The sequence below is a fragment of the Homo sapiens genome, chromosome 4 (assembly GCF_000001405.40).
Source record: "Homo sapiens chromosome 4, GRCh38.p14 Primary Assembly".
In the NCBI taxonomy this organism is placed as follows: Eukaryota; Metazoa; Chordata; class Mammalia; order Primates; family Hominidae; genus Homo; species Homo sapiens.
Window position 1 is genome coordinate 14,557,898 of NC_000004.12, and position 26,924 is coordinate 14,584,821.

The following is a 26,924-nucleotide window of genomic DNA, read 5'->3' on the forward strand; positions in this document are numbered from 1 at the left end:
GATTCATGTAACTGCTAGCACAATGAATACTACCTCTCGATAGTTACATATTCCTCCAACACTTGAAAACCTCCCAATCTGTTCTCCATCTCTATAATTTTGTCATTTTGAGAATGTTGTCATATAATATGCAACCTTTAGAGATTGGTATTTTATTTCTGAGTTTACTGCCCTTGAGAATAGTCCAAGCTGTTTTATATATCAGTAATTCTTTTCCTTTTCACTGCTTACTAGTATTCCATTGTATGAATGTATGTGTTTGTTCAGCCATTCATCCCTTGAAGGGCATTTAGGTTTTTCCAAGTTTGAGGCTAGCACAAATGAAGCTGCGGTTTTTAATTTTTATGAATGAAGCTGGACATTTGTGACAATATTTACGTGCAAAATGTTTTCATTTCTGTATTGTTAATCCCGGGAGTTGAGTTGGTAGCTCATATAAAATGCATTTTTTAACTTTATAAAACACTGCCAAACTTTGTTCCAGGATAGCGATACCATTTTGCATTCTCAACAGCAAAGTCTGAAAGATCCAGTAGCTCTGCATCTTTAATAGCACCTGGTATGGTCAGTATACACATTTTTAATTTTAACTATTTTAGCAGGAATGTACCCTATTTATAAATAGTTATTTTTTGCAAGAATCTGAGATAAAATGCATTTCTCCACTGGATAAAGCCACAACAGACCCAGTGTAATATAGTTAAACATTCCTTCAATAGCTATGGCAGAGCGAGTTAATGTTTTTGCACCAAACGTCAAATGGGTATTACAGAATTCTGTAATTTATAAAATATTATATACATGAATTATTTTCTTGTATTATCACTCATAAGAAACATGTGGGGAGAAATTAGAGGGTAACTGGATTAACTAGACATAAGACTTTTTGAGTGACAGGAAAGATATTTTCCTAACTGTAGAAACTGAGGAGTCATCAGACAAGTAATAAAACCAAAGCTAGTTTTCTGGAAGATCCGTGTAGTTTCACTGTGGTAGTTGGAGTAAATGGAAAGGATGGTAGAGTGGACGCTGAACAAGCAGCCTTAGAGAAACTTCATAAAAATGTATACAAGGCCAGCGGTAGAAAAAATAAGATACAGGAAGAACATGTTGTAAAAGAAAAACTTATGTATCAAGGGAGTCATGAGATTTAGGATGACTCTAGGCTTATTAAAAGAGAAATAAGAAAGTCAGAATTAAAAGCTGGTATAAACAGAGTGTTAGTGATAATCAAATCAACCAGCACTACCAACACCTGGCTGTGCTAAGTGCTTTATCTGGCAATCTTTACCATAGTCCTACAAAACAACAACAATCACCTCCAACTACAGATGAGGAAACTGAACCTCACAGATGTCAATAATTTGTCTGAGATCAAACAATGAATAGATTTCTCTATTTGTGTAATGAGACAGTAGTGCTATCAATATGATTATTGAAATATTAAAATAAGATATCTACAAATTTTAAGGGCCATATAAATATTATCTAGTATTGTTTTGGTAATAATTCTTCTCTAAAGATTGAATGTACCAAAGGTTTCCAGGATTTAAATAATGGGCACATTTTCTCTTCAGAAAAAAGATGTTACCACACAATAAACATTTTCTATTTCAAAGTAAAAGCTCTTTGGGTTTAATTCCAAGATCTCCCATGAGAGACCATAATTTAAAAATGAATATGACAGGGAACTCAGAATTCTTTTAATTTTCCATCAATTATGTATAATATAAATGTGCATATAAGCAAGTATTGCAGTAGAAAAATAATACTTTATCCTCATTTTTCTAGAGTGTCAAAAATGATAAATTTGAATATTTGTGGTAAACACTCAGCGAAAATGTCAGAAACATTACTTCCTCAAGCCAGCATCTCATTGTCAGCTTTTTGTAATCAGTTTAACTTTTATTGAGGAAAAGGAACAATCACAAATCAGCCTTTTTGTGTCCTTTGAATTCTTATGGCTGCAAATGAGGCTTCCAGCTGCGTCAATTTCATTTTGCAAAGGCACCATGTTGAATCATTAATTACCTAAGAAGGTACTGGATCCTTATCTCCTTCTGGTAACAAAATTTTTTATATATTATATGTATATACACAAATCAGATTGGAACCTGGAGCTATAAAGTCATCTTTTCTTAAAATGCCATCTGCCAGATTTCACTTCAGAACATGAGAAATCTTTAAAGGTGAGGGAAGGAGAGACAAGTGAGGGTAGTGAAGCATCAGAGTGCTAGGCTGTCTTGTCATCACAGCCTGTGCTGTTCCCTCCTCCCCAGTCTCTCCAGCTCCAACCCCCCTTGGATTACTGATACAGCCTGCTATCTCATCCCCCCACCATCAGCAGCCCTGTCTGCCCATAAATCTGAGCGGCCAAAACAGTCACTCCATAATGCCTATCCAGCCACGTTTCTTTCCTGCTCATAATCTCCCAAAGGCCTTCCATGCCTGTGATGTCAGGGCTCCTTAAAAGGCCAGCAAGGTGCTTTCTACTCAACCCCCACATATCTTGTCAGCATCCTCTCTCACTATCAACTATCTGATAAACCATGCTCCTGCCATGTGTAATTATGTAAAGTCACTTTAACTCTAGGCTTATTATTTTAGTAATCTCTGCCTGACGCAAAATTCATGGCTCAGTTTATGTTTTACCTCTTCTAAGTCTTCCATAACCTTCTCTCCGACTACCAATCAGCATTTTTTATCCACCTCAATCATGAGACTGAACATGGTGCCCTGCAAATTGGTTTCAGCAAACTTTGATAGTGATTGCATGTTGTTATAATTGTCCTTTGTCTTTTTTCCACCTTCCAATAGTTTGTAAGATGCATGTAACAAGGCACAAAAAAGCAAAGATGATGTCATATTTGACAGCATAAATGTAGTCCCAGTGTTACATATGTAGTTGACAGGGAAACAAATGTCATATATGAAGGTATTTGAAATAAAAGAGAGGAAGAAAGAAAGGAAAGAAGGGAGGGGGGCAAAGAGAAAAGAAGGGAGGGAGGGAAGAAGGAAGGAAGGAAGGAAGGAAGGAAGGAAGGAAGGAAGGAAGGAAAGGTAATAAAAAATTATGGTAAAGACTAAGGTGTAGTGGGTGGGCTGGATGTCCATTCTAGTCCTGATTCTTCTCTCATCAACAAGTTGAGAGTCCTAATAAATGTTTATACTATTTGAGCATAAGTTTTGCATCTTTAAAATAAGATAGAAAGAATTCCTAGGGTTCATTTAAACTTGAAAATTCTGATTCTGTAACTCATTATCAGCATCCTCAAGGTGATTTTAGCAGCAGAAAAAGGCAGGACTTCTGGTGAAGTTGGACATGCCTATCTCACCGTTGGAGCCCAGGAGCTGCCTCATCACACAGTCTTCATTTTGCTCTACCGTGGCACACAAATCTCTCTTTTTTTTTTTTTTTTTGAGATGGAGTCTCACCCTGTTGCCCAGGCTGGAGTGCAGTGGCGTGATCTCGGTTCACTGCAACCTCTGCCTCCCGGGTTCAAGTGATTCTCCTGCCTCAGCCTCCCAAGTAGCTGGGACTACAGGTGCCCACCACCACGCCCAGCTAATTTTTTGTATTTTTAGTAGAGATGGGGTTTCACCGTGTTAGCCAGGATGGTCTCGATCTCTTGAGCTCGTGATCCGCCCATCTCAGCCTCCCAAAGTACTGGGATTACAGGCATGAGCCACCACGCCCAGCCTCTACATATTTATTAAAACAAAAAACAAAAAACAAAAAAACACCTGCACACTAATGCTGGCATTCTGAATGTTCTGCATTTCTCACCATTCTGAAACACGACCAAGCCTTGTGCAGGTCTTTCCAATACTGCAAAAAGTCTGATAACTGGGACTACATCTGTAGAAGACCAAGCCTCTCCTTAGAGTTTGACATTATACCACATTTGTACATTCAACCCATACTTATTAAGGGCTTGTTCTATGACTAATACTATACTAGGCACTAGTGGTATGATTAAAAATTAGACATAATTCTTTCTTTCATAAAGCTTTAAGTCTAGTTGGAAGACTAAACAATGGTATCTATCTTAACAATTTTTGTATTATAAGAGGAAGCCCAACTCAACATGGATAGGAAAAAGAAATGTATTGGCTGTAACTAAAGAGACTGTCTGTGGGTCCAATTCAGACAGAGATTGATCAAGGTTCTCAAATGATAATCACAATGAAAGGACACACACAAACACACATGCACACTCACAAACACACATTTATTTTCCTTTCTCTTTCTTCACTACATGATGGCTACTTCAGCTTCGGCTCCTACATTTTTCCTGATTTATGTCGACAGGAAAGAGAAAGCTACATCCCCAGCAACTTTTTTTATGGCCCAGAATTGAGTTTCACTATGCTACACTGTCCTGATTTGAAGTCAGAGACCCATCCTGGAAGCAGTTACCATGAGCAGAGGGGAGGATGCAATGACTGCTTTGGTCTCAGTCATGTGAGCCCTGGAGCCCTGGGCTGAAGTCAGCTTCATTTAAAGCTTATGGGCTCTCAAAAACTAAATTGTGCTTCTCTTTCCCCAATAAGTAAGAGGGGATATGGGCAGCAAAAACCCAAAATTTGCTTTAATATAACTTAAATGTTGGCAAATGATATGAGAGAAAAGAATAATGAGAAAATTGGAGAAAATGTCTATCTTAGAGAGCATGCCCTGGGAAACTCACCCTGAAGAAGTGATCATTCCACAAAACGGGATCTTTCAAAGGACAATAAGGAAACAGCCATAAGGCCATCCATGGGAACAGTATTTCATACATGGAAAATAGTACAAATGCCTGAGTCTCAGAGGAGGTTGGCCGCTTCTGGGCGGCATGAGATCAGGTGGCTGCATTGTGGTGGGATAGGAAGAAAAGGGTAAGGTGGATGGCGGGGAGGGGTAAGCAATGTCAACTGCATTCTAAATATTATAAGAAGCCACTAATGGATTTATTCCTCTCAGTCCTCAATATCGCTAAGCTAATTATTCAGCAAATCTTCCTGTTATTTATTCAATAAATAAACATATTGCAGGTGTCAAGAAGTAGGCAGGCTTCCAGCTTTCAAGAACCTCACAGTCTAAGGAGTGGGAGGAAGAAAAGACAACAATACCACAGCAAGATAGAAGAACAGCAGCCACACATGAGCATCTGCCAAAGCCGCCTGAAACTGCACTAGGTATGCCGTCTACATGCTCACTAATTCCCCTACAAGCAATTTACCAGATAAGTGTCATTTTGCAGAAAGAGGACACCCACGTATCCCAAGCTTGCCTGATGTCTCACCCATAGATTAATTGGTAGAGATAAGGTTTGAATTTAAACCTGGCTGACTTCCAATAATATTTACAAGACCTTCTTAAATGTAATAACAAAGCAGCCATTTACATTTAGTTTCTGCTAGTTTTCAAAACAGTCCAATATTAGATAATATCCTCTCTCTAATAATAAAAGCAACATGGCCTTAAATAAATAAACCCATTTCCAAGGTCACAGAGCAAGAGCATAGCATGGAAACCAGGATCATCTGGGTCCCAAGCCAGTGTTCTCTGTCCTGCCATGCTGCCTCCAAGACCCTGAAATACGCAGTACTTTGCTGATTCAGAAAAAGGAGGGTGCAAGTCCAGCTGAAGAATTATGGAAGCTTTCTTGTTTGGGCAGCAACTTGCTGCTGAGGCATTGACTGAACCTGGGCAATCAGATTAGGGGAGATTTTAACTATGGGAGCTCTAGCAGTTCCCACCGTCCCTCTCTCCCCATTCAAAGAGCTCCTCAGGAGGTCCTGGAGTAGGGATTAAACACATGTCTCTGACAGGTAAGCCCTTGAGGATGGACCCAGGTTAGCTGGGACCCCCACACTGTTGACAGCCTCCTCTCTTTCCCTCTTGGCTTTCAAAGAAAATTAGCTCCTGACAAGCAGAGGAGACAGTTTTGGCTTCTCTACCTAAAGGCTAACCCAGTTCTCACAGTGTAGTGCTAGGCTGCCCCATCAGCTGGCATCCTCCATGCCAGAGACACCCATGGGTACCCCAGGGGAAAGAAGCTGTGTCAGGACCCATGGTGGCTTGTGTCATCTCTTCTGGATTAGTCCTTGAGGGATGCACATCTTAGTCTTGCTTCCCCATAACATATGTCAGTTAACTTGCTTTCAGTATGCAATATGGTCCAAGCACTGGACTGGTAGGCTCAGTAAGTAACACACTAGTACTTGCCTGGCTTCATGGTGCTTTTAATCATTAAACACATATCTCTGACAGGCAAGCCCTTCAGGATGGGTCCAGGTTGGCTGGGGCCCCCACCTTGTTGCAAACCTCCTCGCCTTCCCTGCTGGCCTCCAGGAAAAATTAACTGAAAATTAGCTGTCGGGCAGAGGAAACACCAGGAATTACAGTTTGGTGCGATTTATGTACTTATTTATTTATTGAAGGAGGTGTATTAGATTCCTCAGTTGCTCCTAGGGGAGTCCAGAACGCACAAGAGCTCTCTCCTGTGGACCATAAGGGCTGCAAATTTAGGCTAAACTCCTGGGCTTTCACTTCCATCTAAACCTCACGGGAAACATGTCTTCCTTTAAGTTTGCTGACAATGCAAATTTCATAAAAATCTTTTCAATACATATTTCTTACTTTGAATTATAAAATAATCTGTTTAAAGGGCACATATTAAGGGATACTGCATTTTGGGAAACAGACAGAGCTGGTGCCTGTCACACAGGCATGCCCCTCTCCCTTGGAAGTCACTCTAGTGTCCGCAGGAAAAACTTCCAACTCCTTGGTCTGGATACAAGACCTTCCGTGTTCTTGAATCTTGGTCTGTATTTCTAGCATCACTTGCCACCATTTGTCCAGGCTTCTGGGCAGCTCCCACACCATCTTCAGTGCTGTTCTCCCTATCACGACTGCCTTATCCTACCCTTCTCAAAAATGGGTTGTTCTATGATCCCACTTAATAGCACCCACTATGTAAACTGTGCCCTGAATCCTTCAGGCAAAATTCGTGGGTCTTGTTCTGATCCTGAATCATCCCTTCATGGTGCTAATAGGACACTTATCACAATACAGCCCAGGTAGGTGCATATGTGCCCATCATCATCTGCGACTCCCCCATCCTCTATAGGGCCTCTACAGGGCCTCGCCTTGCTCATGGAAGGTACATGACTCAATGATTACATTCATCGTAAAATGTAAGATGGTGGATTTCACAGAGCTTAAGTTGCAGGGCAGCAGCTGACAAAAGCACAAGGGAGAGAAAAGAAAAGGGGATTGGTATGGGACATTTGTTTAACTAAATACAATTGTGTTGGAAAATCCCTATAGGAAGCCTCCGGGTCTTTCTTTCCCATCTACACATGGCTGGAGGTCAATTTCTTAGAAAAAAAGTGAACAACAATAGTGAAAAAATAATAATACCAGCCAGCATAAAAATTGAGCTGTATGGTTTTTGTACTAATAACATTTTTATCACAGATGTAACAAATGCCCATTATAGAAAATTTAGAAAACACTAACAAGCAAAGAGAAAAAAAAAGATAGTATTAATTCCACCACAGAGAAAGAGCCACTATTAATTATTTAGCATGTACTTTTCATATTTTTGTTTTCATATGGTATCTAAAATAAATATTCTATTCTTTCTCCCTATCCTTCTGATATGGTTTGGCTGTGTTCCCACCCAAATCTCATCTTGAATTGTAGCTCCCATAATCCCCACGTGTCTGGGAGGGACCTGGTGGAAGGTAACTGAATCATGAGGGTGGGTTTTTCCCATGCTGTTCTCATGATAGTGAATACGTCTCACAAGGGCCCATGGTTTTATACAGGGCAGTATCTCTGCACATGCTCTGTTGCCTGCTGCCATGTAAGACATGCCTTTGCTCCTCCTTCTCCTTCCACCATGATTTTGAGGCCTCCCGAGCTATATGGAACTGTGAGTCCACTGAATTTCTTTTTCTTTACAAATTAGCCAGTCTCAGGTATTTCTTCAAAGCAATATGAAAATGGACAAATATACCTTCCTTCATTTTTCTCTTCTTTCTCTGCTGTTCCTTCTTCTTTTCCTGCCTTCCATCACCTTTTCATTCTTTACCATATTAATATAGGCAGTTATTCAAAATATAAGATTCTAAATAGTGTTTGCAGAATGCCACCTTTTGTGTAAAATCCAGGGAGAATAAGAATATATACATTTGATTTTGCTTATATTTCTATCAAGGTTCTAGAAAGACACATAATAAAGAAATAAAAGTGGTTGCTGATTGGAGTGAGCTGGGGCAAACTAGCTGGATGAGAGCAAAAGTAGAAGGAAGAATTCTTACTTTTCACCAAGTATCATTCTATGGTACAGATGCTCCTTGACTTACACTGGGGTTACACCCTGAGAAACCCATCGTAAGTTGAAAATATAGCTAAGTAAAAAATGCATTTAATACACCTAACCTTCCAAACGTCATAGCTTATCTAACCTACCTTAAATGTACTCACAACACTGTCTGTACTTTGATTTTGCATCAGAAGAACATAATTCCTTGTAAATAAAAATAATAGTGTTGCAGGTCACACATGCTTTCCTGTACTATGCCTTTGCTACTCCCTCAACTAGTGTCCTCTTGAATCTAGGTGGCATCTCAGACTGTTTGTCCAATAGAATGTGGTAGGAGTGGTGCTGTGTCAGTTCTGGATGCCATGGATTGGTCTAGATGCTTTCTGGGAAGCTAGTTACCATACAAGGAGTGTGACTACCTGTGTACCATCATCCTCTGGGAGCCCCAGTTTTGCACAGAGGCCAACAAATATCAAAGCACTAGTCATATGCATAAAGAAACCACCAGGCATTCTGCTCAGTTACTCCTCCAGATGTCACCAGCCTCAGCAACAATCTCACTGCAACCACATCATGAGATACCCCCAACAAGGCCCCATCCAGTCAAACCACAGAAACCTGTGAGTCACAGTAATGTATTTTATTAAATAAAAAAATATTTCAGGGTAGTTTGGCATGCAACAATAGACAACCTGACCAGAAATACTAAAATGTAGGTCGACAAATACTTACCATGTGCCTGCTCTGCAGCATAGGGGTAAAAAACTCAGATTTTAGGTTCAGGTTGCCTGTATTCAAATCCTGGCTCTAACACAACTATCTGCGTGACCTTGACCAACTTTATTCACCTTTCTGTGTCCCAATTTTCCATATAATAGAGGTAATACTACCTACCTCAAAAGAGTGTTATGAGGATTTAATAATATTTAGAATAGAACCTGGCACACAGCAAATGCTCGGTATTAGCTATTATTATTATATACCAAGAGTTATACAGAATTGTCAATATTTTTAATACGAAAATATTCCTCAAGTAAATAATAGGCATTATTCCCGAAAATACTGTGATGGATTTTTTTGTAATTTTTTAAAATTGAACCTCTATGTTCAAATTAAGATTAGACTGGATTTTTTGTTTTTTTTTCTGTCTGTGCTCTTTTATAAGTTATCAAGGTTATGTTTGCCTCATAAAAAGCTCTGATTTTGGAAAGGTTTACATAATATATAACCTACCTTTTTCTTAGAAGTTGGAATCATGTTGGAAAATGCTTGGAAATTTTGACTTTGAATTTGTCACTTTGAAAAGATGCAACAAGTTTGTAATTTATTCTGACTTTACTGGAAAGCACTAGAAGTAGTTTAAAAAGATGGTGTCATGCTTAAACCATTATGAGAACATGATGGTCTTTTGCTACGTGGTGTGGCACTCTGAAGGAGAAGTTGAGCAACAGCTTAACACTTTTTGCCACTATAGGTCTGGCTCCTTTTTATTTGCCTGCCTGAATTACAGATTCTTTTTTATTATTCCTTGTTATTGTGAATGTCACAAAGCTATATCTAAGAATGATAGTCATGAACCTCATGGCATTCGTTTGATTGGTGAGCCTGAGCCTCTCTGATTTGAACATTAATTATTCAACCTTATTTCATTATTTCTTTCATTTCTCATCTATTCTATGTATCATTTATGTTCTCTTTGTTATTTTTCTGTTATTTTTCTTGAACAATGGAATTATATTTGAACCAACTTCTCAAATACTGATGTATTTACTTTTCCTGCAGAATCCAGTTTTATCCACTGTCTCCATAACTTTTTTTCCTTAATTCTAAATTCTTTCAATTCTCTAAAATTTTCTGGCCTTAAATCATTTTATTTCATAAACATCTTGCTTCTTTAATGATTTGAAATTTCCTCAAATCTTGTTGAGAATATGAATGAATATATCCTAAACATATCTCATGGTTTGTTTTTATTTTTTGTCCAGTATTCTTTTTTAGCCCTTCTCTTGAGTTTTTCAACCTACTCTTTTCATAATCTTAGATTACAGAAGATCAATTCACTTACTATTGGGAGGTGGCACTGCTTCTATCAAAAATAGCACATATCTCTGTTCATAAGGCCCTGATCCTGACACTTGAAGTCACAGGTGACAAGGGAAAATGCAGCAGTTGAAACTTTCAAGGCCTGAATTTGTGTAATAGAGGGAAGAGAAATAAAAAGAGAAAAGAAAACAATTTAGAGGAATCTAGGAGGCAAGGAACTGAGGGAATTAAAGAAGGCTCTTGCGGCCGGGTGCTGTGGCTCATGCCTGTAATTCCAGAACTTTGGATCTGCTCCAGTTTTGTGCACATTATATTGAAGTTTTCTGCCAAAGCTCATGTTCTTTTCCTTTTAAAGTTTGTCATGTGATTGTTTCCCTATAAAAATAAATATTGGAGACATGATAGTTTGTAGGAAAGAACATTAGACTAGGAATAAATACCTAAGTTTAAATTATTTTACACTATATTATTTTATGATTGAAAGCAAGAGAACAACTTGGTCAGCATTTAGAAAGATCACTCTGGACACCATTTGGAGAAGAGATTGGAGAGGAAGAAACTTCAGGCATTGAGAGAGCTATGGAAATAATTCAATTCAGCAAATGTAAGATGAGATTTTCCTTTATCTTTGGTAATGCTGAATTCTGTGCCTAGAATTTACTATTCCATATCAGTCCATTTAGACAGATAGATAGATAGATAGATAGATAGATAGATAGATAGATAGATAGATAGATACATACATACATACATACATACATACATACATACATACATACATACATGAATCAGGCACTGTTGGTTGCCTACCCAACAAGAATACCTGATTTTGTTTCACCTCTTCCCCACATGACTCAGAGATCAATCCTGATTTATTTCACTTAAACATGACAATCATTTTGCCATTAAAAATAATGCATTTGAAGGTGTCCTTTGACCCAGTTTTCATCATTGAATTGAGAGGACAGGTTTGCTGGAAGATCTTTCATGAAAGTTCTAGAACTTACATAAACAATAGGAAGAAACAGTGCCTTCTCTTGCACTGAACATGACTAAAAGTGACTATGCAAGAGTCTCAACAAGGACAAAAGTCTAATGAAAGTGGTAAAATTGAAAGATGGAAAGAACTGGGTACTTGTTAACATTTCTGAGACACTGAATGACCAACCCAAAAACACATTATCCCTAGCCATTAATGAAGCTATGATAACATGCTTATTACTACTATTATTATTATTAACTTTTATTTTAGGTTCAGGGGTACATGTGCAGACTTGTAATATAGGTAAACTTGTGTCACGGGGATTTGTTGCACAGATTATTTCATCACCTATATACTAAGCATAGTACCCAATAGTTATTTTTTCTGTTTCTGTCCCTCCTCCCAGCCTCCACCTCCACATAGGCTCCAGTGTCTTCTCCCTTCTTTGTGTCCATGTTTTCTCATCATTTAGCTCCCACTTATAAGTAAGAACATACAGTATTTGGTTTTCTGCTTTTGCATTAGTTTGCTAAGGATGATGGCCTCCAGGCCAATCTATGTTCCTACAAAGGACATGATCTTGTTCTTTTTTTTATGCCCCTTATTTTCGAAGCCAATTAAATTAAGTCTTCTGTTAGTTGCAGCCAAAAGCATTGTAGCTGATGTAAACAACTACTATGAACCAGACACAGTGCTATGGGTAAGAAACCAAAGTGAGGTCATCACAGGCCCTGCGTTCTAGGAGCTTATCGTCTTTCGTAAGAGTTTTCAATCTGTATGTGAAGTGTTGGAAACAATAGTTTTTTTCTAGGCTGTGGTAAAATTCCTCTACATTTTATAAGGCCTACCCAAATTCATTTTTTTCATGGATTCTTAATGCTTCTCTCATAGCACTTATTGTACTTTTTTGTATCTTGCCATTAATATATATCCTCTCCCCAGCACTGTAGGAGAATGAAGCTATCTTGGAGTACTGCACTGCTTCTACTTTATATTATTTAATTGTGAGGCTAAGAATTCAGATGACAAAATCATGTATAGCCCACACATAATTGCATCCCTGACTATAACCATGATCAGATGACTTAATCTTCTGGCCCTGACCACAGGCCTACAAATATCACAAATAAATATTTAATGGAGGAAAATCTAACTACTCACTGAACAATTGACATTTAAGCTCTTGTTTTATTTCTGTCTGATGTCAATGCCACAAGGTCATCTTCAAAACATCCCTTTTATCCCTATGCATGTTTATATGGCACCAGGTCTTTGGTAAATGGAAATGGACACTGTGTAGCCAATTACCAGAAATTTACATTTTATGCTGTCGAGTCATTAGAGAAACAGCATTTGATTACTGGTTACTTTTTGTTTTATCCCCTGGCTTATTCCATCACACATAAATCGACATATTTGAGTTTAAGGAAGACCCATAGGTATGTAATTGTGGAGTATAATCGTGGCATCTGTTGGCATGTAAATCCCTTAGGTTTGGTTCTCATAATGAACTTTGCAGTCCCAAACTACCAAATTAAAATGGAAATCTTTTCTGCTCTTCAGGTACAGAAGCAATTGCTACATCTTAAATTGGGGGCAGATCACCTAGATAAAATAAAATGCTGGGGAAAATAAAATTATATGCAAGTTCTCTACACAAGTAATGGTGGTCTGAACATATATCTTTTTTTCATCAACTTTCAAGTTCCGGGGTACATGTGCAGGATGTGCAGGTTAGTTACATAGGTAAATGTGTGCCATGGTGATTTGCTGCACAGATCAACCCATCACCTAGGTATTAAGCCTAGCATCCATTAGCTATTCAAGACTGAACCAGGAAGAAATTGAATCCCTAAATAGAACAATAACAAGTTCTGAAATTGAGGCAGTAATAAATACCCTACCAACCAAAAAAAAAAAAAAAAAAAAAAGTCCAGGACCAGACAGATTTACAGCTGAAATCTACCAGAAGTACAAAGGGGAGCTGGACCCATTTCTACTGAAACTATTCCAAACAACTGAAAAGGAGGGACTCCTCTCTAACTCATTTTATGAAGCCAGTGTCATCCTGATACTAAAACCTGGCAGAGGTACCACAAAAAAATAAAATTTCATACCAATATCCCTGATGAACACTGAGGCAAAAATTCTGAGTAAAATACTGGCAAACCAAATCCAGCAGCACATCAAAAAGCTTATTCACCACGATCAAGTTGGCTTCATCTCCAGGATGCAAGGTTGGCACTTGAACTTATATCTTCTAAGTAGAGTTTAAATTAGAGATTTTGATATTATACAGTCAACTTGTTCTTTGCAAAGAGGAAGGTTTTAAGTCTGGATGAACTCACTGGTTGTCCTAAGGTGATCGACATAAGCAAAACATTACCTTATTCTCTCTTATTCTGTGGTGCTGATAATCATACAAATCTTACTCCTGTAAGTCACCTAATAATTTTTCTCACACATGATCCTATCCCCTGTGAGCTTAGGAATACGTATTTTTGCAGAAATATATTCTATAGTTTCAAAGGCATATCTTCTAATCAGTAACAGTAGGGTGATCCACTCTGCAAAATGTGTTAAACTTATCCACAATCCTCAATCTTACAACGTTTCTGTGACATTTCCTGCAGCTGAGCCAACACTTGGAGGCCACAGATGATCAATTATCAAAGTCCCTGCATCATTTTCTCTGCATGGAGTCTGAGGCCAGGCCCTCCAAGCTAATTGGATTTTCCCACCTTTCCTCAGTGTCTGTGCTAGGAAGGATGACAGTGAAAACCAGAGAGTGGAGGAAAAATCAGCCCCTAGCCTTTTTTCTCCCAGTTTGAATCTAGTCCCATCCTTTGAAACTGATGTATAATCTTGATCCCCTCAGCTTCATCATGGAAATCTCTAAATACCTTGGCCAGAGTTCCCATTGGATTCCTCCACTCCTGGATTTCTCAGATAGGAGAGATTATCTTCACTCTTGTTTGTGGACACAAACATGGCCTGATTTTCCTGAGGAAAACATTTAAATGGAGAGAGAATTGATAAGAGGCAAAGAAATAAGGTGATGAAAAATTACAACAGGAGGCTTCATCCTGAGGTCATTGGAGGTCATCTTCCTGGGAGTGGATCAGTCAGGCTAGTTATGTGAACAGGCTCTAGTAGACATTAGGATAGCAAAGAGCAGAAGCAGCAGCGACCACTTGTGCAAATGCATCTTAATCCCACTTCTTCTCCGATATCCTAGCCTGTCTGCTTCATACTTCTCTCATGTCCACCACCTGACACAAGCCAAGCTGTGTCTCTAAGTGATGTTAAGGATCTTTTTGGGTTTATGGCCAGATACCCAAACTCTAATTTTTGGAGTGAAGGGGCATAAAGAGCAGGTTGTGTAGTTTTTCCTATCTGTATGTTATATAGATCTAGGGATTGGTTCTTGGGGCCAGAAATGGATTATAAGTCCTACCTAAGGCATCCAAGAAAAAATCTTTACAAAGGGTCAGTTGGAGACAAAGTCCTTAGATTATGTCATGAAAATTAGCAATAGGTATCTAGCCCAAAGAAGAGCATGGCTTGGATTACCTATTGCTGCGTAACAACCCATACCAAGTGTAATGGTTTAAAGCAACACCAGCCACTTATTTTCCTTGTGAATCAGCAATTTGTTAAGAGTCAAGTATTATGGGAGCTAGAGAATAAGCTGCCTCTATAATTGTGTAAGCCATCTTTCAGAAATAACATCTATCCATCAATCTATCTTACCTATATTTAAACGTACCATTGGTTCTGTTTCTCTGAAGAACACTGATTAATACAGCATTTGATTGAGTCACTGTTTAATTCCAGGCCATAAATCATACTTTGGATGTCACTGAATATTCTGCCTATGGGTCAGATGCCCACACATCTTGACATGACTGGCGAGTAAGTGCTGGTGTTACGGGTTTAACTGTATCCCCCCAAAATTCATATGTTGAAGTCCTATCCTCCCCAGTACTTGAAAAAGTGACCTTTGATGATCAAGTTTTTATAGAGGTAATCAAGTTAAAATAAAGTCATTAGGGTAGGTCCTAATCCCATATGTCTGATATCCTTATATGAAGGGAAAATTTGAAAACAGACAAGTCCGGAGGAAAGACTGTGAAGACACAGGAGGAAGATGGCCATTGAGAAGCCAAGGAGCTTCTCAAGCCTGGATCAGATGCTTTCTTCACGGTCCTCACAAGGAGCCAACACTCACCAAGCCTTGATCTCAAACTTCTAGCCTCCAGAACTGTGAGGCAAATTTGTGTTGTCTGACCTACCCAATTTGTGCTACTTTATTTTGGCAGTTGTATCAAACTAGCACAGCTAGCTATTAGCGTCTCTGAACATGGGTCACTCCTAGGGTGACTTTAGCTTCCTCATAGCATGGTGGCTGTGTTTCAAAAATGAGCATTCCAAGAGCAAGGAAATGGAAACTGCCATTTCCTTTCACCTTGAGCCTGGAAACTGGCATGGTGTCATTTCCTTTGTGTTCTATTAGTCAAAAATCAAAAGGCTGGATTCTACGGGAAGGAATATAAAGTGTACTTTTTAACGGAAGAAGCATCAGATAATTTTGAGGACATGGGCAAAAACCGTCTCCAGAATTGAGGCCAAGAGACAAAAGATGGAACACTTTGAATATTCCTCGTAAAAAATAATAACTAACTCTTGTTGAATATTTACCATGCCCAAGGCTCTAGAAGCTTAAGTGCATTATTTCTTTCTACTCTCATCATGATCCTAAATAATCCTGATATAGATATTGTTGTTGTTATTCTCGAGCTGGAATCAGAAAGATTAAGAAACTTACTCAGGGTCACACAGCTAAGTAATCGTCAGAACTGTCATTTGAACCCAAAATATCTGATTTCTGCACCTGCGCTTTTAATGACTGCAATACTGTCATATAGGTCTTGCAGGATTGATAGTGTAGAAGTTTCTGTGTTGGAGATAACTCCTACCTCAGCCCTTTAAACATGCACCTACTGGTTTTTAAGCTTCTCTTCCAAAACATGCTGCCCAGATTATCTAGTTTAAAAAGAAAATGCAACCCTCTTTTCATTTTTAAATAAAGGGTAAGAATAAAATCTAGCAACTTCTATAAAACAGCCATAGATTTAAAAAGGATAGATATAGGCCAGATAAAAAAAGTTTGTTACTCTGAGAATAAACTCAAGTGCATTAAGTTTATAGGCACAAGCAGGAGAATAAATCAATTTAACTCTATATCCCATCATTCTTTACAGGTTTGTAACAAGATGTACTTTGTTAGATTTTAATCTGTCTACATTTGAGACAGCAAAGCTCTCCACAATCATCTTTTAATGGCATTGCAATTTATAGACAGTAACTAATTTCAAACTTCATAGCACTTGGCTTTTATGATTATTTCAAATCATTTAAATGCAAATGAATTTCCAGAGCGAGAAAACATCAAATGCCCTTGAGTGGCACCATGTAATAGAACCATGCACGGAAGCCACTGTAGGAATCTGAAGCAGTTGGATAGGGTTGGGTGGTAAGACTGTATAAAAGTGTTTGCCTAAATCCAATTTACATTTCATTCCACATTATATTCTATTTACCCATTTTGTCATTTTAATACGACTTATTTACTTAATCCTCCTCTGAAATCCTATCCATTCTCCATTGCAAACGTAATATTTGAGTTAGGAAAAAGGAATGGCAATGCAACATTCCAAAACAAAAACTGGGGGCTGGGCGTGGTGGCTCACCCCTGTAATCCCAGCACTTTGGGAGGCTGAGGTGGGTAGATCACCTGAGGTCAGGAGTTCAAGACCAAACTGGCCAACATGGTGAAACCCCGTCTCTACTAAAAAATACAAAAAATTAGCCAAGCATGGTGGCACTCGCCTGTAATCCCAGCTACTTGGGAGGCTGAGGCAGGAGAATCGCTTGAAGCTGGGAGGCAGAGGTTGCAGTGAGCCGAGATCACACCATTGCACTCCAGCCTGGGCAAAAAAAGTGAAACTCAGTCTCAAAAACAAACAAACAAAAACAAAACAAGAATGGACGACTCTCAGATACCTCTTGCTTCTCCACCCCTCTTTGCAGTTAATGATGCCACTGTCTGATGCAGCCCCATGCATAAATGTGTAAATTATACTATTGCTCTTCTTTCAAACAGAGCTTGTGTTTGCCTGAAGACAAAGTAACATTTCCACCACAAAATTGCTAAGCAACAATATATACACAGTATCAGGACAAAGAAGGCTGGCCCCTATATGAACTCATTCTACCCTGATAGTTCACTAAAGCATTGGAAGCATCATGGCAATACACTTAGAGAAAAGCTGTGAGTAGCAATGTGCTCTTTAAAAAGGAGGAAAGATGATCATTCACTCCCTCAACTCTGCCCAGTATATGCCAAGCTCTGGGTTCAGCACTAGGAATACAGGTATCATCCTTGGTCTCTATAAGTTTAAACACAGTAGAAGAGAAAGATGCAGTTGAACAGCCATACACCAAGACTACACGGCACTGCAGGGCAGTGACTATCTCTAAGCATTAAAGAAAGTGGAGGTAAAGGAGACGGTAGGTAGTGTGGCAGATATTTCAGAGAACAGATTGATTGGATTGCCTGTTTTCACTTCCAGTTTTGGGGGCTTTTGCTTCATGATGCTCATCTCATCTAAGTTTTAACCATTTATAATTAGTGGTTCTCTTGTAGAGTAGTGAATCAGCCCTGCAAACCCTGTATCTTGCAGTTTATCACAGGGCCCCACATATAGTAAGAACTTCATACAATTTGTTGAACAAAGGAATCAAAGTTACTGTTTCTTTTCAAACATTTTAATCACCATGGTAAGAATTGGCTTTCGTGCCAGTCACGTGATCACCTATGCACTCACCACTTCTCTACATTTGAAGGTGCTGGACTTTCTGTTGGGGTCACTGCTCCCATTCTTTTCTATGTGGTCCATAAAAGCCTAGTTGAAAACTTTGGTTTTATCATAAGAACTGACCTGACAATGATGTAATGATCTCCCTACCTCTGAATTTGTACAACATGAGTTATCATTTTCATGGATTTCAATGCAAAATTGGTGTGCCATTCTTGGCTACAAGAAGTGTGTGTTTGTGTATCTGTGCAAGTGTATGTGTGTATGATTGGCATGGAATTATTTATGAAACTGTTTAAAATACACACTATGTCTTTTATGCCATGTTCTCCACTGTGTAGCATAGAGTGCAAACCTCAAAGAATAGAATTTCCGAGCCTTTATATTCTAGACGATAATACGATCCCCTGAACATGAGCCATTGTTTTGCATTTTCAGGGGAGCTAAATAAGCACGAAGTACCACGTCCAGCACCAAACAGCAGGTGCACAGAGGAAGACCCAGAATTTGTTTTCCTCACTTCTAGTCTCTTCTTGTTTTCATGCTTCCATGTTGCCATTCTTAAATGCACAATAAAGAGTCATATAAAAGATGAGAATTTGAAGCAATCGAAATCCATAGCTGATACCCTAGCTCTTCAAGATCAGTTCTTTTCCTGATCTGTGCCTCCATCTTCTCCCCTCCAAGATAAAAAGTCTGGATTAGGGGCTTTCTCAATCCTCTTACAACCCAAAAGTTTCAGTATCCATTTTCTGAGTTGATGGTTTTTGCTGCCTGGGAGAATTTGGAAATTGAACATTGTGATATGTATATATAACAAACTTTTATTCCTCATATTACAGTGTAATGACCTTTTTACATCAATTTATGACAAAAAATGAACTAGGCAAGAAATACAGTATGCAGATATCACTCCCAATCTTTCCTAAGAAGCTTAGAATTCAATTAGATAGAATGACAAGTGAAACCAAAATTACAGGGAGAAAATGAGTCACCAATCAAGGAACATAGAGCCCACAGGCAGATTCATTGAGTGCTATGTGAGTATTAGCACAAATCTCTCCATTAATTTGATAAGAATTTCAGAAGAGTTTCCAGCATAATATTTGAAAAAATTGTGAGAGAAAATTAGTTAGATACCAAAAGTGATTCATTTGGGGCCACAGGACATAAAGGGTGGAAAAGAATAACGGTTAAGTGCATCGACTTTGGAGTCATTGAGATCTGAGTTTAAATCTTAACTCTACCACTTTGATGTGAAACTTGGATCAAGTTATTAAACATTTGTAAGCCTCAATACAATTATATGCAGGCAAAGGTAAATAAAAATATTTTTTCTCAAGTTCTTTGTGTCTGGTTTCAATGATGTAATTTGTGTAGCCTCCAGGGAATAGTAAGTGTTCAATAAAGTCAATATCACAGGAGATCAATATTTATTAAATTGAGTTCACACAGTTTTAGGAAGCTATATTGCCAAGGTAATTATGTTAATAAGCCAAGAATATTGGAGATAGAATGAAGCCAGAAAAAAAATTTTGAATAGTAATTGTTATTAATATTTGCAGGGACATGATCGGAGCCAGAGGCCATTATCCTTAGCAAACTAACACAGGAAAAGAAAACCAAACACTCTATGTTCTCACTCATAAGTGGGAGCTAAGTGATGAGAACACATGGACACAGACAGGGAACAACACATACTGGGGCCTTTTGGAGGGTGGAGGGTTGGAGGAGGGAGAGGAGCAGGAAAAATAACTAATGGGTACTAGGCTTCACACCTGGGTGATGAAATAATCTGTACAAAAAACTTCCATGACACAAGTTTACATATGTAACAAACCTGCACTTGTACCCCTGAACTTAAAATAAAAGTTAAAAAAATGCAAAGTGCTTAGGAAACTCTCTTTAGTGCTTATCTCATTGAAAAGTATTAGAAGCTCTTTAAGTGACCAGAGAAGGGCTTGTGCTTCTTACTTTAGAGATGAGGAAATTAAGTAACTTGTTCACAGTCACGTACTTACAGAGAAGTGGAGCTGGTTCTCATATACATAATATTCTAAGTACCCAAATCCCAAAAAAAAAAAAATGCCTCACACTTTGTGTCAGGAGACTTCAAGTAAAAAGCAAGGGTTAGATTTAAATATGAGGCCAATAAGGGTCATATAGAAGACCTAGAAGAGAAGAGATGTTACGTTATTAGATGATAAGCATGGGACAAGTTGACACAAAGTACAGGTCTAAAGTAGAGACTAGAACAGAATGGAAAAGAAAGACATGTTAAGAAGCCCTTCCCATGGAAAGGAACACTTGGTTGTGATCTCAATGTGGGGACTGGAACTTTTTATTCTTTATCTGGAGTATGGCTATACAGATGTTCTGGAGGATGGCTATACATATGTCTGAAGTATGGCTGAATAAATGCTCTGGAGTATGGCTGTACCTATGTTGGAGCACCTGCTTTATCCCTGCTCCAGAATAAAGGTTCTTATCCTGATTTGGGATAGAAAAAGGACAGTCCCAATCCCTTGCCTCCTTCTTATGGGGTATCCTACTACAGGCTAGACACTGACTCAGGAGCTAGAAGTGCAGTAATGACAGGTTAACCCTGTTCAGGTTGTCAGGACACAGTAGAGTCAAATAAGGAAAAAGGCAAATCTAATAAAGTGGCAAAATATTAGAACAGAGGAAAGCACAGGGTTATCTGGGATTGAAATGGAAGGCTTCTGCACAGGGATAGAAGCAGAGAAAACCATCCTTGACCAGTAAGGAAAGAACTGGGTCTCAAGATGAGCACGAGATCAGCATGGGAGGAAAATGAAAGAAGCAGCTGTGAGAAGAAAGGGTGCTCCAGTAAGTAATCCAATAAGTAAGATTGCACAGCCCATGCCAGAGCATCACAGTGTTGAGGGGTGGGCATATCAAGATTATCCACCCATCCCCCTGCCTGTACCAGGAAAGCCACCTAATTAGGGATGTAATTGTTCCCGCTCCACCCTTCCCTTCTTCTAAATATACTTTCTCCATCTGTGGTGAGAAACAGCCACTGTATTTGGTACCACATAGCTTGATCTCAGCTAGCCACAGCCATGTAGACAAGCATGCACATCTGACCCACAGGCAGAATATTCAATGACATCGAAAGTATGACTTATGGCCTGGAATTTTAAAAATTATTCAATCAAATGCTGTATTAATCAGTGTTCTTCAGATAAACAGAACCAATAGTACATTTAAATACAGGTAGGATAGATTGATGGATAGATGTTAATTCTGAAAGATGGCTCACACAATTACAGAGGCAGAGAAGTCCCACCATATGCTGTCTGCACTCTGAAGGTTCAGAAAAGCTGGTGATGTAGTTCCAGTTCAAATCCAAAGCCTGAGAATCAGAGCAGACAGTGATGTCAGTCCCAGTTCAAATCCAAAGCCTGAGAATCAGAGCAGACAGTGATGTCAGTCCCAGTTCAAGTCTGGAGGCCCTGGAACTGGGACACTGGTGTCCAAGGACAGAAGAAGATGGATATCCCAGCTCAAGAAGAAACAGAAGATTTCTCCTTCCTTTATCTTTTTGTTCTATTAGAGCCTTCATTGGATTGAATGATGCCCCTTACATTGGTGAAGGTGGATCTTTTTCACTCAGTTTACTGATTCAAATGCTAATCTCTTCCAGAAACACTCTCACAGACGTACCCAGACATAACGTTCTACCAGTTACCAGAGCATCCCTTAGCCCAGTCAAGTTGACATCTAAAATTAACAACATAGGTGATCCACTTATTAATTATAATGGGAAAAAAGAGACACAAATGTAAACGGTAATATGAGAAAAAGCAAAAAAAAAAAAGACTATCTAGAATTACCAGTAGAAAGCATAAGAGATGTAGGTAGACAAGTAGACAAAGCCATAGGTCAGACATAGTTAGCAGGGAGAAAGGAACACAAACAATTAAAGAAACTAAGCTGGTAGAGAGATGAAAGTAAAAATATAAGCAATGACAGATGTCAAAGCTTCATGCAAGAGAGAAGTCTACTTTCTTGGTCCCTGTTATTGTTTTTTGGCATTATATGCTACTTGAGATGTAGTAAAAAAAAAAAAAAAAAAAAAGGATGATAACAGCAGGTAATTCTGAGTCAGCATTTTTGACAGTCTTCTAATCAGAATCCATATTTTGAATGTAGACTAAACCACCTCAAAAAGGGTATTTATCTAGTGATGTGAAAAAAAAACAAATAAATGAATAGGAAGCAAATAATTTAAGTAAAAAGATTAATATCTAATTTGTCTCCAAACTTTCTGGCAGCCAGAGCAAAAAGAAAAACCATGGTGAGTTACTAAATTTTATTGTCACAGTAAGAAAAGTCTCAATGGCCCAGAGGAGTTGAGACAGGATAGGAAAAGTCTCATTTCAAACTTCAAAATGAATTTCCACATGGGTCATTCTACTAGGGTTACTCTTCAGTACAGCAGCCACTCTCCTCCATGATAATTTCAGAGTAAATTCAAAAATGGTTTTCAAATGATGCATAGTCTTAAGTCATAATTAATTGAAAGAGGCCCTGCAAGGGCCTCATGTGATCTGGCTTTGCAACCCTCTGTGGCCATATCTGGAACCCAGTGCACTCTGAATACCAGGCAAACTCTCACTTCATCTCTTCCATGCTTCCTCTCATTTTCCACAACCCAGGGACATGTGAACAATAGAATATAACTTTCAAGGGTGCAAGACATTTTGTCTGCTTTGTTAACTGCTGAATGACCGTCACCTAGAATAGAACATTGTACATAGTTGGAACTGAGTAGATACGTGTTTATTTAGTGTGGACTGACTCATTTCAATCTCAATCTATAAATTATAATAGGTTCCCTTTACTAAATATGCTATCGAATGTTTTTCACTTGTTGTTGAAACCACATCCTTGAAGCTGGCCTTCCTAGAAGACTATAAACTCATTGAGGGTAGTACTTCTTACTGTCTTATGGTATCCCCAGACTTGGTGCAGGATCCTGCATTTAGAAGATGTTCAGTACATCGATGGTGAATGATTGATGATAGGAAGGAATGACTCATGAGTCATAAGTTGTATCATGTAATGCACGTCTAAATGCAATATTTTTAGGGAACTTAAAGAGGATGGAAGGATTGCAGAATGATTGAAAGTAAGAGGAGAGAAATAGTAAATGATGGAGGAAGAGGGTAACAAGGACAGGTAAAACAGGTTAAGAACCAGAGCATGGCTGCTGATGCTGAGAAGGAGGGTGATCCCATACATATCATCTCATTTGATCTTCCTAACAGGAAGAGTTATAGCTGGAGCTTGTAGGTAAAGAGACTAATAATTTAAGGGTCTAAGTAGGATATATTCAACGGATTAAATTGAAGATATGATTTTAACTATGATTGTTAAACTTTATGCCAAAGAGCCTCTGAGTCTTCCCACTGGTATGGCTAGCTCAGGGCCACCTGGCCCACCCACCCATTCTGCAGATAAGGGAGAAGGTGCAGCGAGATCTCATGAGTTATCCAAATTTGTCCAAATGGCTGTTAAGTGTTGCAAGAAACTGCAAAACAGTGACACTAAAGAGGGCTCCTCAATTTTCTCAAATGAAATCCTTTAAATGTGTGTGGTATCACAGCAGGGACTGATCAGGGTGAGAGTAGGGGAAGCAAAGGAGTTTGCTGTTTCCACTATCCGCACTTTCTCTTCAGAGTGGCCATGCCAATCCTGGGGGACATGCTGAAGCCAAGGGCTTGGTGAGTGTGATTATCCTCTCCCTCTGCTAATTAACCCCTGCAACTGACCCCAAAGAAAAGGCCCGAGGGAAGCCAAGGGTCAGATCAGCCAAAGGCCAAGATAATAAGGCTGACCTTTCAAGAGGCAATCAGACTTGCATAGTGATTTGTAAAGAGGGTAGGCCTGTCTTACAAAGGTCAGCTACCTCTTCTGAGCAGAAATGGCACCCTAAGCATCTAACAACGAGTGAAGGCTGCAGGGGCCCTAACAGGTGGGTCCATGTGACACTGGTGAGCCAGGTGGCTGTCGTACACTGACACCCTGCTGGAGCCCCATACAGGAATCTGACAGAATGAAACTTCCCTCAATAAAAAGACTTAGAAACTTCCTCCAGGTAAATATATACACTGGATTCAAGAAGATAAACACAAAGGTGCTATGCCTAGAAACAGTGGCACCTCCTGAAAAATACAATTATTCTATCACATAGCACACTACTCATTTTCCTAAACGTAGAGTGCAGCAGTCTTGGCTTTCTGTGTGTAATAAAGTTTATTTTCCAAGGAAAAGCTTACTACCAACACCAATCTATCAAACAAAATCTGAGTGCTATTAATTGAAACAGGATGGGGACAAGACATTTCCTTCAAGCCCCTTTTGCCCACAGCTGCCTCAGAAGCACCTCGAATGGACTGAATTTAAAACTAAAAACAAAAACTACTGGTGTAATAAAAAGGATTTCAATTGCATACTTGCTTAAGGGATGATTTGCTTAATGTCTGTCTGTCCCACTGTACTATTACCTTCCCAAGGGCATAAATTGATCTGCTTTTCTCAATGTCGCATTGCCACCACCTAGCACAGAGGTCAAAACAAGGCTTGAGATGGTGTGTGGGAAAGTGCTTTGTAAATTCTAAAAAACTAAAAGGCTACAGCTAGAAAGGAGTAGTCTCAATTCACTCATCAGAATCTATTTCAGGAAGCAATTATGTTCAGTCAAGTTGAAAGTGTTCTCTCAGTAAGTTCACTGGCTCCCAACAAACAAACAGAGAATTATTGTTTGACTGATGCCTGACAGACACTTGAAATGACTCCCAAGCCTATTGTTGCTTGTCATCATTTTAAAAATGCCCATCCCTCTCTCACTAGCTCCATGTCCCACAACTCATTGTTTGCGAGGCATCCATTGTCTCCAAGTTTCTATCTCGAACACCTGCATTAGCTCCTTTCAAATGGCCGCACAACAGCAGAATATAATTGCACTTTCATCTTCCTTAGGTATCATGTCTAAAGAAAAATCTGTGGTGGGCCTATTCTTCTGATTAGATGGGCATGCCAACAAAAAAATAAATTGAACCTCTGTCTTTCTGTGAAATCCAATATTTCACAATATACTATTTGACACAGCTCTGACTGCACTGATCTGAAAGGGAGCATTGTAGCACACGGAGAGAATGTTCACCTTTTACTATGTTACATGGATAAAGAGTGGTTTAAAGGCCCCAAATATAAACAATGTATTGAGCCTTCCTTGCTGATAAGTTGACATACTAGGTGTCAAGTAAATATTAAGAAAATGTTTTGCTCAAAGTTACATAATGAGGATGACCTATAATGCTTGCAAAGTACCTCATAGGTTATGAGTCATGAGGTGTGGACTGGGGAATCCAGCAAACAGGACTCCCTGCGTAGTGGGGAGAACTACACTCCCACCAATTCAGCCTGTGGTCATTCTTTTCCTAGCAGCACCTTCTACCCAGAGATAACAAAGAAGTCTTCATACGGAAGAAAATGCTTAAGGGTAGACTTGCAGGACCAGCTGACTTCACCTGGTAGCACCTGGAAAAGACCTTCCAAGCAGAAGGACTAGCACTCAAATGAGCAAGCACAGACCTCTCTGGCCTCTGGTTTTCCTATAATCCTCCGAAAGGAGCACAAGGATGGAATATTTTACCAAGACCTGTCTACTGCACAAAATCATGGGACTATAGTGGTTGGAACCAGCAGTGCTGGTTTCAACCCTTCACTCTTTTGCTGGTAGATGGAAAGCACATGATCAGCTAAATCCTCAGCTATTTTTTAGTGAACAGCTGCCCAGTCAGGAGTCTCTTCTTGCACTTACGAAATGAGTTTGTAACCTTTTCTCGTGCGCAATTTCACTTTTACTGTTTTTTTGTTTTGGTTTCATTTGGTTTGGTTTTTGCCTCAGCGTCCATACCTCTGAATATTATTTTAATCGCATATCCTTTGTTAATCATATGAGCTACGAATCCCTCCCTATTATGCCTGTTAGCAAACTTCACAAGGAACCTGCTTTTATCTTTGTGTATATCCTTTATAAAAATGTTGGTCAAAAAGAGATCAGGACATTCCCATGATGGTACAGGAGAGGACTCACTTGGGATCATGCAGACTCATTCATTAGAGGTGTCTACATAGGATTGATCTACCATCTTTGATTATGATTTTAATCATTACTCTTTAGTCACAAGATTTTTGCCAACACAATGCAGCACAGTGAAAAAAATCATTGAAGAATGAGACAAGATCTAAATTTGAATTTTTACTCTGTTACTCTCTGTACAAATATAGCATGGCATTTTTCTGCAAGTCTCAGCTTTCTAGTCTCTAAAATGGGGGTAAAAATGCCTTCCTCTGATGAGTGGTCTGAAAATGTAATTCACTGACTCTGAATACCTGGAGTCTAACAGGTCCACAAGCACATAAATGGCTGATGATGCTCATGCTGATGCCCTTAATGGTTCAGGCCTAAAAATAAACATTGCTTCTTTCTATTTCCAGGTTTTGGATAAATGAGAATATTTTCTTCTAGCACTTGCTTATTCCCACTGGGAATTGTCTCAGTGACTCTTTTCACAACATCTTCTATCTTGCAGTAACAGAGGTTCAAGCTCAGCTCCACTTATGAATCATATGCAACCTTGGACAAATTGTTTCCCCTTC

General features: G+C 39.0%; 1 long non-coding RNA gene across 1 annotated transcript in view; it reads right to left on the reverse strand.

The window, feature by feature from the left end:
* Nucleotides 1-26,924, reverse strand: part of LINC00504 (long intergenic non-protein coding RNA 504) — a 417,705-nt gene that overhangs the window by 87,433 nt on the left and 303,348 nt on the right. The window contains exon 5 of the long non-coding RNA NR_126435.1: nt 14,250-14,349. This is a non-coding gene — a long non-coding RNA (long intergenic non-protein coding RNA 504). The remainder of the gene's footprint in view (nt 1-14,249; nt 14,350-26,924) is intronic.